The sequence below is a fragment of the Homo sapiens genome, chromosome 1 (genome assembly GCF_000001405.40).
Source record: "Homo sapiens chromosome 1, GRCh38.p14 Primary Assembly".
NCBI classification, from domain to species: domain Eukaryota; kingdom Metazoa; phylum Chordata; class Mammalia; order Primates; family Hominidae; genus Homo; species Homo sapiens.
In genome coordinates, this window is record NC_000001.11 from 185,376,712 (window position 1) to 185,391,273 (window position 14,562).

Consider the following 14,562-nt stretch of genomic DNA (forward strand, 5'->3'; position numbering starts at 1 on the left):
TACATCTTGCTCCCTTAAATGAATGCTCCTTGACCACTCCACATTATCTGCTTTGTTTATTAACGGCAGTAATCTAAAACAGTAGTCTAAAACAGTGCAAGGCCCATCGTTGATGGGCTGATTAAATAAGTATGCCTGTCTTTTAATCAATTCAGGGTGGAAGAGAGTCTCTATAGAAAGGGTTTAAGGGCTGTGTCTGTCAAGGTCCAGTAGCAAAAAAAAAGAAAAAAGAAAAAAAAAGAGTCTGCTCTAGCTAATTTGAACAGAAAGGGATTAATTAGAGAATGTGGTTCACCATCGAGAAGGCTGCAGCAACATCCTCCACAGTGAGCTTTCAGGAACCACCTTGGAAACCACACACTGACTGGGCCACCAAGGTAGAGACTGCTCTTCTTTGATTGGGAGAACTACAGCCAAGCTGGGACACTGAGGGGTCAGCTGCTGGGTCTGGGACCAAATGACCACTTCTGGGAAGATCACACCTGCATGAAAAGGAGGTCAGCACTACTGGGAACTGACAAGATCAAGAGACTGGGGTAATGACTCTGTGTGGTTCTCCCCGTGTACATGTTAATAAAATGTATATCCCTTTTCTCCAATTAAAAAAAAATTCCCTAGCAAGTTGACTCAGAAGAAATAAATGAATACTCTCAAAAAACTGCGTCAGAAAAACCAGACACTTCCACTCTAGTGTTGGCTAACAGGAAGCGACAAAGCAGCGGAAGCTTATTTGTCTTGTCTTCTAGCTCTCATGCCAGTACGCATGATTGGTGGAACAAAACCTCGGCTACTAGGAAGTCTGGGAGATGTGGCTTTTAGCTTTCCAGTCTCTGTAGCATGGAGGGCACATTGGGAACAGGTTAGAATGGCTGTGAGGGCTGCTAATCCACTATACATAGGATGGACAGATGATTGATTATTAAAAAGTTAATGAATCTTCAAGTTTATATTTGCCAGGCAAGAAGGTCTCAGTAAAACCAAACCAAAAAGGGCCAGGCACTATTACGAGGCTCATGCCTGTAATCCCAGCACTTTGGGAGGCCGAGGTGGGCAGATCACCTGAGGTCAGGAGTTCAAGACCAGCCTGGCCAACATGGCAAAACCCTGTATCTACTAAAAATACAAAAAAAAAAAAAAAAAAAAAAAAAAAGCCAGGCATAGTGGTGGGTGCCTGTAATCCCAGCTACTCAGGAGGCTGAGGCAGGCGAATTGCTTGAATCAGGGAGCAGGAGGTTGCAGTGAGCCGAGATTGTGCCACTGCATTCCAGCCTGGATGACAGAGCGAGATTCAGTCTTAAAAAAAATTAAAAAAACAAAAAACAAATAGTCAAGAGATTCTTCACTTGATACTGATGGACAGTGTACATACAATTTCAGGAATGATTACTTTTCCCCTAAGATGCAATAGCATAAGTTTGTGACCATGAATGGCATCACCATTTCTAAAGTATCAGTCTGACAAACTAAACTCAATAAAGCCATGATCTGAGATCTCCTGGAGAGTGAAACTGTTTACATCTTCTATCTCTCCCAGAAAAGTACGAAATCAATCAGCCTGGGCACTGTTTTTCATAGCTGGTCATGTACATTTTTTTCCAACATAAGGCAGTGGTTAAATTTAAGTCTTAAGGAGGGCTTTAATTGCACAGAAGCTGAGATTGGGAATTTTTGTATTGGCAAAAAAGAAATCCATTACTTGATTTTGTTTTTATTATTTGATATTCCTAAATGTTTACTTGTATGAATCTATTTATTATTTATTTTCATTTTTACTGGATCACATAATATAGAGTGTGTATACATATATTAGAGGGATGAAAATCCACAAGTTTTTTTCATTCTTTTTTATTTTTTTATTTTATTTTATTTTATTTTATTTTATTTTATTTTATTTTATTATTATTATACTTTAAGTTTTAGGGTACATGTGCACAATGTGCAGGTTTGTTACATATGTATACATGTGCCATGTTGGTGTGCTGCACCCATTAACTCGTCATTTAGCATTAGGTATATCTCCTAATGCTATCTCTCCCCCCTCCCCCCACCCCACAACCGTCCCCGGAGTGTGATGTTCCCCTTCCTGTGTCCATGTGTTCTCATTGTTCAGTTCCCACCTATGAGTGAGAACATGCGGTGTTTGGTTTTTTGTCCTTGCGTTAGTTTGCTGAGAATGATGGTTTCCAGTTTCATCCATGTCCCTGCAAAGGACATGAACTCTTCATTTTTTATGGCTGCATAGTATTCCATGGTGTATATGTGCCACATTTTCTTAATCCAGTCTATCATTGTTGGACATTTGGGTTGGTTCCAAGTCTTTGCTATTGTGAATAGTGCTGCAGTAAACATAAGTGTGCATGTGTCTTTATAGCAGCATGATTTATAATCCTTTGGGTATATACCCAGTAATGGGATGGCTGGGTCAAATGGTATTTCTAGTTCTAGATCCCTGAGGAATCACCACACTGACTTCCACAATGGTTGAACTAGTTTACAGTCCCACCAACAGTGTGAAAGTGTTCCTATTTCTCCACATCCTCTCCAGCACCTGTTGTTTCCTGACTTTTTAATGATTGCCATTCTAACTGGTGTGAGATGGTATCTCATTGTGGTTTTGATTTGCATTTCTCTGATGGCCAGTGATGGTGAGCATTTTTTCATGTGTTTTTTGGCTGCATAAATGTCTTCTTTTGAGAAGTGTCTGTTCATGTCCTTCGCCCACTTTTTGATGGGGTTGTTTGTTTTTTTCTTGTAAATTTGCTGGAGTTCATTGTAGATTCTGGATATTAGCCCTTTGTCAGATGAGTAGGTTGTGAAAATTTTCTCCCATTTTGTAGGTTGCCTGTTCACTCTGATGGTAGTTTCTTTTGCTGTGCAGAAGTTCTTTAGTTTAATTAGATCCCATTTGTCAATTTTGGCTTTTGCTGCCGTTGCTTTTGGTGGTTTAGACATGAAGTCCTTGCCCATGCCTATGTCCTGAATGGTATTGCCTAGTTTTTCTTCTAGGGTTTTTATGGTTTTAGCTCTAACATGTAAGTCTTTAATCCATCTTGAATTAATTTTTGTATAAGGTGTAAGGAAGGGATCCAGTTTCAGCTTTCTACATATGGTTAGCCATTTTTCCCAGCACCATTTATTAAATAGGGAATCCTTTCCCCATTGCTTGTTTTTGTGAGGTTTGTCAAAGATCAGATAGTTGTAGATATGCGGCATTATTTCTGAGGGCTCTGTTCTGTTCCATTGGTCTATATCTCTGTTTTGGTACCAGTACCAGGCTGTTTTGGTTACTGTAGCCTTGTAGTATAGTTCGAAGTCAGGTAGCGTGATGCTTCTGGCTTTGTTCTTTTGGCTCAGGATTGACTTGGCGATGAGGGCTCTTTTTTGGTTCCATATGAACTTTAAAGTAGTTTTTTCCAATTCTGGGAAGAAAGTCATTGGTAGCTTGATGGGGATGGCATTGAATCTGTAAATTACCTTGGGCAGTATGGCCATTTTCACGATATTGATTCTTCCTACCCATGAGCATGGAATGTTCTTCCATTTGTTTGTATCCTCTTTTATTTCCTTGAGCAGTGGTTTGTAGTTCTCCTTGAAGAGGTCCTTCACATCCCTTGTAAGTTGGATTCCTAGGTATTTTATTCTCTTTGAAGCAATTGTGAATGGGAGTTCACTCATGATTTGGCTCTCTGTTTGTCTGTTATTGGTGTATAAGAATGCTTGTGATTTTTGTACATTGATTTTGTATCCTGAGACTTTGCTGAAGTTGCTTATCAGCTTAAGGAGATTTTGGGCTGAGACGATGGGGTTTTCTAGATATACAATCATGTCGTCTGCAAACAGGGACAATTTGACTTCCTCTTTTCCTAATTGAATACCTTTTATTTCCTTCTCCTGCCTAATTGCCCTGGCCAGAACTTCCAACACTATGTTGAATAGGAGTGGTGAGAGAGGGCATCCCTGTCTTGTGCCAGTTTTCAAGGGGAATGCTTCCAGTTTTTGCCCATTCAGTATGATATTGGCTGTGGGTTTGTCATAGATAGCTCTTATCATTTTGAAATACGTCCCATCAATACCTAATTTATTGAGAGTTTTTAGCATGAAAGGTTGTTGAATTTTGTCAAAGGCTTTTCTGCATCTATTGAGATAATCATGTGGTTTTTGTCTTTGGCTCTGTTTATATGCTGGATTACATTTATTGATTTGCGTATATTGAACCAGCCTTGCATCCCAGGGATGAAGCCCACTTGATCATGGTGGATAAGCTTTTTGATGTGCTGCTGGATTTGGTTTGCCAGTATTTTATTGAGGATTTTTGCATCAATGTTCATCAAGGATATTGGTCTAAAATTCTCTTTTTTGGTTGTGTCTCTGCCAGGCTTTGGTATCAGGATGATGCTGGTCTCATAAAATGAGTTAGGGAGGATTCCCTCTTTTTCTATTGATTGGAATAGTTTCAGAAGGAATGGTACCAGCTCCTCCTTGTACCTCTGGTAGAATTTGGCTGTGAATCCATCTGGTCCTGGACTTTTTTCAGTTGGTAAGCTATTGATTATTGCCACAATTTCAGATCCTGTTATTGGTCTATTCAGAGATTCAACTTCTTCCTGGTTTAGTCTTGGGAGAGTGTGTGTGTCGAGGAATTTATCCATTTCTTCTAGATTTTCTAGTTTATTTGAGTAGAGTTGTTTGTAGTATTCTCTGATGGTAGTTTGTATTTCTGTGGGATCGGTGGTGATATCCCCTTTTTCATTTTTTATTGCATCTATTTGATTCTTCTCTCTTTTCTTCTTTATTATTCTTGCTGTCAGTCTATCGATTTTGTTGATCTTTTCGAAAAACCAGCTCCTGGATTCATTAATTTTTTGAAGGGTTTTTTGTGTCTCTATTTCCTTCAGTTCTGCTCTGATTTTAGTTATTTCTTTCCTTTGGCTAGCTTTTGAATGTGTTTGCTCTTGCTTTTCTAGTTCTTTTAATTGCGACGTTAGGGTGTCAATTTTGGATCTTTCCTGCTTTCTCTTGTGGGCATTTAGTGCTATAAATTTCCCTCTACACACTGCTTTGAATGTGTCCCAGAGATTCTGGTATGTTGTGCCTGTTCTCGTTGGTTTCAAAGAACATCTTTATTTCTGCCTTCATTTCGTTATGTACCCAGTAGTCATTCAGGAGCAGGTTGTTCAGTTTCCATGTAGTTGAGGGGTTTTGAGTGAGTTTCTTAATGCTGAGTTCTAGTTTGATTGCACCGTGGTCTGAGAGTTTGTTATAATTTCTGTTCTTTTACATTTGCTGAGGGGTGCTTTACTTCCAACTATGTGGTCAATTTTGGAATAGGTGTAGTGTGGTGCTGAAAAAAATGTATATTCTGTTGATTTGGGGTGGAGAGTTCTGTAGATGTCTATTAGGTCCACTTGGTGCAGAGGTGAGTTCAATTCCTGGGTATCCTTGTTAACTTTGTGTCTCATTGATCTGTCTAATGTTGACAGTGGGGTGTTAAAGTCTCCCATTATTATTGTGTGGGAGTCTAAGTCTCTTTGTAGGTCACTCAGGACTTGCTTTATGAATCTGGGTGCTCCTGTGTTGGGTGCATATATATTTAGGATAGTTAGCTCTTCTTGTTGAATTGATCCTTTTACCATTATGTAATGGCCTTCTTTGTCTCTTTTGATCTTTGTTGGTTTAAAGTCTGTTTTATCAGAGACTAGGATTGCAACCCCTGCCTTTTTTTGTTTTCCATTTGCTTGGTAGATCTTCCCCCACCCCTTTATTTTGAGCCTATGTGTGTCTCTGCACATGAGATGGGTTTCCTGGATACAGCACACTGATGGGTCTTGACTCTTTATCCAATTTGCCAGTCTGTGTCTTTTAATTGGAGCATTTAGCCCATTTACATTTAAAGTTAATATTGTTATGTGTGTATTTGGTCCTGTCATTATGATGTTAGCTGGTTATTTTGCTCGTTAGTTGATGCAGTTTCTTCCTAGCCTTGATGGTCTTTACACTTTGGCATGTTTTTGTAGTGGCTGGTACCAGTTGTTCCTTTCCATGTTTGGTGCTTCCTTCAGGAGCTCTTTTAGGGCAAGCCTGGTGGTGACAAAATCTCTCAGCATTTGCTTGGCTGTAAAGTATTTTATTTCTCCTTCACTTATGAAGCTTAGTTTGGCTGGATATGAAATTCTGGGTTGAAAATTCTTTTCTTTAAGAATGTTGAATATTGGCCCCCACTCTCTTCTGGCTTGTAGAGTTTCTGCCGAGAGATCTGCTGTTAGTCTGATGGGCTTCCCTTTGTGGGTAACCCGACCTTTCTCTCTGGCTGCCCTTAACATTTTTTCCTTCATTTCAACTTTGGTGAATCTGACAATTATGTGTCTTGGAGTTGCTCTTCTTGAGGAGTATCTTTGTGGCATTCTCTGTATTTCCTGAATCTGAATGTTGGCCTGCCTTGCTAGATTGGGGAAGTTCTCCTGGATAATATCATGCAGAGTGTTTTTCAACTTGGTTCCATTCTCCCCGTCACTTTCAGGTACACCAATCAGATGTAGATTTGGTCTTTTCACATAATCCCATATTTCTTGGAGGCTTTGTTCATTTCTTTTAATTCTTTTTTCTCTAAACTTCCCTTCTCGATTCATTTCACTCATTTCATCTTCCATCGCTGATACCCTTTCTTCCAGTTGATTGCATCGGCTCCTGAGGCTTCTGCATTCTTCACATAGTTCTCGAGCCTTGGCTTTCAGCTCCGTCAGCTCCTTTAAGGACTTCTCTGTATTCGTTATTCTAGTTATCCATTCGTCTAATTTTTTTTCAAAGTTTTTAACTTCTTTGCCATTGGTTTGAATTTCCTCCTGTAGCTCGGAGTCGTTTGATCGTCTGAAGCCCTCTTCTCTCAGCTCATCAAAGTCATTCTCCGTCCAGCTTTGTTCCGTTGCTGGTGAGGAGCTGCATTCCTTTAGAGGAGGAGAGGCGCTCTGCTTTTTAGAGTTTCCAGTTTTTCTGCTCTGTTTTTTCCCCATCTTTGTGGTTTTATCTACTTTTGGTCTTTGATGATGGTGATGTACAGAAGGGTTTTTGGTGTGGATGTCCTTTCTGTTTGTTAGTTTTCCTTCTAACAGACAGGACCCTCAGCTGCAGGTCTGTTGGAGTTTGCTAGAGGTCCACTCCAGACCCTGTTTGCCTGGGTATCAACAGCGGTGGCTGCAGAACAGTGGTGGCTGTAGGACAGCGGATCTTGGTGAACCGCAAATGCTGCCGCCTGATCATTCCTCTGGAGGTTTTGTCTCAGAGGAGTACCCGGCCGTGTGAGGTGTCAGTCTGCCCCTACTGGGGGTGCAGACTGCCTGTTGAGGAGGCAGTCTGCCTGTTCTCAGATCTCCAGCTGTGTGCTGGGAGAACCACTGCTCTCTTCAAAGCTGTCAGACAGGGACATTTAAGTCTGCAGAGGTTACTGCTGTCTTTTTGTTTGTCTGTGCCCTGCCCCCAGAGGTGGAGCCTACAGAGGCAGGCAGGCCTCCTTGAGCTGTGGTGGGCTCCACCCAGTTCGAGCTTCCTGGCTGCTTTGTTTACCTAATCAAGCCTGGGCAATGGCAGGTGCCCCTCCCCCAGCCTTGCTGCTGCCTTGCAGTTTGATCTCAGACTGCTGTGCTAGCAATCAGTGAGACTCTGTGGGCGTAGGACCCTCTGAGCCAGGTGCGGGATATAATCTCCTGCTGTGCCGTTTTTTTAAGCCCTTTGGAAAAGCACAGTATTAGGGTGGGAGTGACCCGATTTTCCAGGTGCCGTCTGTCACCCCTTTCTTTGACTAGGAAAGGGAACTCCCTGACCCCTTGCACTTCCCGAGTGAGGCAATGCCTCGCCGTGCTTCAGCTCGCGCACGGTGTGCTGCACCCACTGTCCTGCACCCACTTTCTGGCACTCCCTAGTGAGATGAACCTGGTACCTCAGATGGAAATGCAGAAATCACCCATCTTCTGCGTCGCTCACACTGGGAGCTGTAGACCGGAGCTGTTCCTATTCAGCCATCTTGGCTCCACCTCCCATTCTTTTTCATTTTTTAAGAGATGGGGTCTTGTTTTTGCCCAGGCTGGTCTTGACCTCCTGAGCTCAAACAATCCCTGCTCCTCAGCCTCCCAAGTAAAATTCGTTTTATTCTTAACCTTGCATCTGTGGGCTTTTTATTTAAAAAGCCCATTGCAATTATAGATATTGTTGGTTTATCTGTTTTACATATTTAAAACCTAACTTTAAATAGAATCAATATGAAATAATAATTGGGGAGCTCCAGCTTATCAAAAAGTATAGCAATATAGAAGAACCTAAACAAAATTTTGGAATGTGCTTTTTAAGAATGTGATTTTATCAAAGTTAGGAAACTTAAAACTCTAAAACTTTTGCATTCTCCATTTTAAGCAGTTCACACTTAGAGGTAGCTTAAGGACTTCTTTCTTTCATTTTTTTTTTTTTTTTTTGTTACAGGGTCTCACTCTGTCACTCAGGCTGGAGTGCAGTGGCTCTCACTGCACTGTACAGTCTCAGCTCACTGCAACCTCTGTCCCCTGTGCTCAAGTGATCCTCCAACCTCAGCCTCCCCAGTAGCTGGGAGAAACAGGTGCATGCCAACACACCCGGCTATTTTTTCGTGTGTTTTTAGTAGAGACGGGGTTTTGCCATGTTGCCCAGCTTGGTCTCGAACTCCTGAGCTGAAGCAATCTGCTCACCTTGGTCTCACAGAGTGCTGAGATTACAGGCATGACCACTGTGTCCGACTTCCCTTGTGAACGACTTTTTAATTAGCTACTCTTTATTGGGTACCTCCTTTGTATGAGGCCTTGAACATTTTCTCATATAATCTTCACAGCTTCCCTATGAGGCATAGATAGTATTATTTCTGTTAGGCCAACATGGATACCAAAGCTCAGAGGAACTGCTTGTTCAAAGACATCTGGCAAGGGAAGGCAGAGCTGGGATTAAAAACTAGGGTTTGAACTCATATCTTCCCAACCTCAAAGCCTACACCTTCTTCAGCAGCCATCATAGCCCTAATGAAAAAAAAAAGGCCACCACCTTTTGCACCATTTATTTATTCATTTGAGCATTAATTCATTTATTCATTCATTCAGTTAGTCAGTCAGTGCTACTTGAATGCTTATTATGGGCCAGGCATGTGCCAATATTAAAATGATGAGCCATGAAAAGGGCATCATCTCAGCTTCCACAAAGTTGAGAACCTTGTTCCCTCCAGGTTAGTTGCTTTTTCAGTATTTACAGATGAGGATTAGCTCCCTGCAAACACAGATAAGAATGTAGAGTGAGGGAAAAAAATGTTTTTAATATAGGAGATGAACATTTTATGAATATTTCCATGTGAAAGAACATTAAAATTGATTACTAGGCATAGGTTATGTGTTTGACTAGATTCCTTAATGACTTCAAGATGAATGAAGCACAGAAATTAATTAGTGGCTGAAACTCATGAAATCCCTGGTGGGGAAGATATAGCTGATCGGATTTTTACATGGAGTTGAAGCAAATGATAGAAATTGAGTTCCTGTTAGGAAGGACCAAGCATTTAAGACCTTGCTTAATGATATTTCTGGAGTGCTAGCAGCCTGTACGCTCTGGGCAACACTGCCAGATTCCTGAGTAAAGGTACCAACCTCACAAGCTATCAACTACAAATGACAGAACCCATGATGTATGTCAGGACTTCAGTGCCCAGAGGGACCAGTAGGCTGCATACCCAGTTACAGAGGGCCAGGACTATTAACAGGTAAGAATAGTCTTCATTGCTACATACACACAGTGTATTTTCTCCTATTGTTAGATCTTTCATTTTCCCCCTTGCAATAGAAACGTAGATATAGGGAACTTCACTTTCACCTTTACCATAAGAAAAACAATAGCCAGAGAGCAATAATGAATGGCCGATGTTCCACCTCAGTCTAGGGGGGCAGTATAAAGTGGCAGGGCCTGTGGGACCCTGGAAATAACATGACTTACCTAATGGGGCAGCTGCGACTCAGTTCCCGCTTATAGTTGCCATGCAAGAGGGTCCAGTTGTGTCAGATATTTCTATTTTTAAAGAGAAGCCAGAAATCTGGATGTTTCTGTAAAATCCTCAGATATTTACATATTGGCAACCAATTTAAAATTAAAACAACAACAAAAGTCTTGGGCCAACCTTTTAAATAGGTGACCAACCATTCAGGTTTTCCTGGGACTGAGGGGTTACCTGGGACATGGGTCTTTCAGTGCTAAAACAAGGAGAGTCCAGGCCAAACTGGAATGGTTGGTCCTCCTAGAATGTGGAGGACAAACAAAACATCTATATGGGCCAAATAAAGTCTGCAGGTGGTCAGCCTGTGACCTCTGAGGAATAGGACAGCAAACCAGAATAGGATTGACATAGACATATTTTCTTTTCTTTATTTCATTTTATTTTTTTTCAGTTGGAGTTTCACTCTTGTCGCTCAGGCTGGAGTGCAATGGTGCAATCTCGGCTCACTGTAACCTCCTCCTCCCGGGTTCAAGTGATTCTCCTGTCTCAGCCTCCCAAGTAGCTGGGATTACAAGGGTGTGCCACCACACCTGGCTAATTTTTGTATTTTTAGTAGAGATAGGGTTTCACCATGTTGGCCAGGCTGGTCTCGAACTCCTGACCTCAGGTGATCCATCTGCCTCGGCCTCCCAAAGTGTTGGGATTACAGGTGTGAGCCACCGTGCCTGGCCACACCGACATACTTTCTTTCTTTTTTTTTTTTTTTTTTGAGATGGAGTCTTGCTCCCACATAGACATATTTTCAAAGGAATGGAAAAATATTTGATTATGAGAGACTACATATACATGGACAAAAGCACTACCAATGTACTCACTTCCACTGTCCCCATAGTCCATATCTGATAGCCACAGCTAGATTACAAACAATTGGAATGAACTGGTAACAATGCTATAAGGTTGGCTTTTTTTTTTTTTTTCAGCTGAACTTCGACCAAGGAACACACAGGGGAGAGAGCCTTTCTTTGAAGAGTGGGAGGTAAACAGAAGCAGAGGCTAAAAAGAACAGGCCGAGTGCTCTTAAAGGTTGCACACAATCTAAGGAAATGTTGGAAAGTTATATGGAATTGTCTTGAACCAGAATTTTTTAATGTACTTAAGTTTTGTAGCTGAGGTTAAGGGTTAATTTTTCACCAGCTTTGCTTTAAAAACACAAAAAACAAAACCCAGATTTTGTGTCCATAGAATATTACTATGAGAAGGGACCTTAATCACTGTGGCAGAAGAGTTCAAACTGGCCTGTTCAGAATTGTGTAGGAGGGCACCAATAGAGTGATAAGGGAAGGTGACAGCATCTTTAAGATGCATTTCCAGCAAAAAAATGTTTCATGGGACAAAGAAAAATGATCACTAAAATCTAAATCCAACAGAAGTTATTTCATACTCTGCTTTTTGTTTATGAAATCAAATGATAATAAACTACTGAATGCTCACATTGCTGAAACTCGATGCAAATTATGTCCTTTCACTGAAGGACAGTGGAATTGAAAAAGGAAAATTCATTATCAAAAAGGCTACTAGATAGTATCTGAGCCATTTCATTTGGTCGATGCACATTTAAAAAATACCTATTACTTGCAAAACATAGCCAAAATGTTAAAAACAACCTTTCCAACCATAGTTATCCATTGACACATACTTGGCTTTATTCTTCATTTTCAACAGCATCTCTTTTTCATAACAGAATTCTCCTTGAAGTTAGAGAATAAACTCTGTAGTGAGGCTATGCTCCAGGCACATAAGGAGCAAGTAAATGCAAGGCTGACTCTTATCTTATTACACCAGCATGCTGCACCAGCCAGAGAACTTACTGGTCATATTAACAGTCACAAAGAGGTATTATTAAGGTCCAAAGACTCACCAGTTTCTTGTCTGAATAATGAGAATCTTCTTTCATTTACCTTGCTTTCTTTGGGGCCAAACATGGTTCATCTTTGACACCTGTTTGTGTAAATTCCTAGGAATCTCAACAGAGTAGGATAGAGGCAATGGCCCAATAGTGTAAATAGCATGAATGTCATACTCACAAACCACAGAGGCCAACCCAGGTTCCTTGCAAACTCTGAGAGGCTCCTAGAGACTGGAGATCAATGGAAGCTGTCTTTATTATGGGTAGAAAGCATGTAGGTGTAAGGCACTTAAATACAAGCTTGGTGAATAGCTCAGGATCAGAATGATCTGATATGAGGTGCCAGCACCTAACAATGAGTTTATGGTTAAAAAAGCACACCCACACTGCCCCAGCACTTGCCATTCCCCTTCTGATTAGATCCAGGAAGGCTGCAGGAAGGGAGGGATGTGTTAATTCTTTTTTTGAGACATGATCTCACTATGTTGCCCAGGCTGGAGTGCAGTGGCTATTCACAGGCATGATCATTGCACACTACAGCCCAGAACTCTTAGGCTCAAGCAGTCCTTCTGCCTCAGCCTCCTGAGTAGCTGGGACTGCAGGGTGCATACCAGTGAACCTAGCTCTAAGGGTGTGTTAATTCTTGAACCCATTTTGGGGGTTGCTGACACTGGAAAATGAGCCAACAAAACATGATTATAAAACATTGTTTTGGTGTTCAGACTAGACTCCCTGCTAGGACAAATCTCTGAGGGGCTGTTTTGGGCCCTTTATCTCAGAAATTAGTCTTAGGAATTTTGTTATTGTGTATGTGAATATGTGTGTTTAAAGTTAAAGCTCCAAACATTTATGATCTCATAAGTTCTGAGGGTCAGGAATCTGGGGGCAGCTTAGCTGGGTGGTTTTGGCCCAGGGTCTTTCATGAGGTTGCAGTCAAAGTGTCAGTCGGTGCTTCATTGTCTGAAAGCTTGACAGGGGCTCTAGGGTCCGCTCTAAGACAGTGCATCTTTGGCTCAAGCTGGCTCATTCATATGGCTATTGGCTGGAGGCCTCAGCTTCTTCCATCTTGCCATCAACCTATCTGTGTGGTTGCTTGAGTGTCTTCATGGCAAGGCAACTAGCTTCCCTCAAAGTGAACAACCTAAGAGAGAAGGGAGGACTGCAATTAACATGGCTTTTTAAATTGCATTTTTGAGATTTACAGCATCTTGGTATCACTAAGTTGCTTCATGGCTTCATGCCCCTGGCAGCCAATATAGTATTGGGGGTGATATGGACTTTCCAAGGGTTACTCACTTGCTTTCAAAGGAAGCAAATGAGTCTGCATTGGAAGATGTGAGAGGTGGGTGATGATGTGGGCACCGCAACTAGGAGAAGCCTCCTAAATAAATGACCGTCATTCATTGCCTAATAAAGTTATAATTGTCTAACTTCTGGAAGAGAAGGATTTGACCAAATATTTAGTCCAAACCTCCCATTTTACAGATACCAGTTGAAGACATGAGAGATGAAATTCTACATAAATACCTTGGAGTATTTGTATTTAAAAGAGTCATCCTCTTTAATTAACGTCTCTTTGTAGGTAGGTTGTTATAGCACAGTATAGATAAGCAATCTCTGGACTTTCCAAGGTCATTATGAACAAAGACAAGATAGTGGCTGGCCATGAAGAAACTGTATATCTGATTCTCAGCCACCTTTGAGTCATGTGAATCTGAATGCAGAAAAAGAATCAAGATCATAACACTAAGTCTCCCACACATTACTGGGATAATAAGTAGTTGGAAAGTTGTAAAGAAAGTTTCTTCTTCTAGGCCTCAAAGCTTTTAGAAACAATGCAGGTTGAGTACTCCTTATTCTAAATGCTTGAGACCAGAAGTGTTTTGAATTCCTGATTTTTTTCAGATTTTAGGATATTTGCATTATACCAATTGAACATCCAAAATCTGAAAATCTGGAATCTGAAATGCTCCAAGGCTCCAAGGAGCATTTCCTTTGAGCATTATGTTGGCACTCAATAAGTTTTGGATTTTGGAGCATTTCAGATTTTGGATTTTCAGATTTAGGATGCTCAACCTGTAATTGAAAATATTGGGTAACTTGCTTAACCTTGCTAAGACCCATTTCTTTTTCTGTAAAATCAGGCTGATGATGGAAACCTTATTGAATTCTGATAATCAGAAATAAGCTATCCTATGTAGGTGTCCAATAAATGGTGGCTGATTTTATTATTACTATTACAATTATATTTTTTATTCAAGGCTTTAGGCTCATAAGCAATATGTGGTTATTCCTACCTAAGAGAACATTTATCCCTTTAGTTCTCAAAATTACATTGGGGTATCTGATCTGTGTTGGTAGCAGGAGTAGGAGATTCTCCAGGTCACTGTAGCCTTGTGAGGTAGTGTTTCTCCTGAGACCACCTGGAGCAGAATTACCTAGTTATTGGTTAAAAATGCAAAGTCTTAGATCCTGCCACAGATCAACTGAGTGTATAAAAAATCGAAGTCTGAATCTATATTTTTAACAAACTATCCAAATGATTCTTATGCCCACTAAAGTTTGAAAACCTCTACATAAGGTGTTTTGGAGCCCTTATGAGGCTCACAGAGGACAAGCTAGATAAATTGATCTTAACCAGAAGTTTCTATATTTTAAAAACTTATGC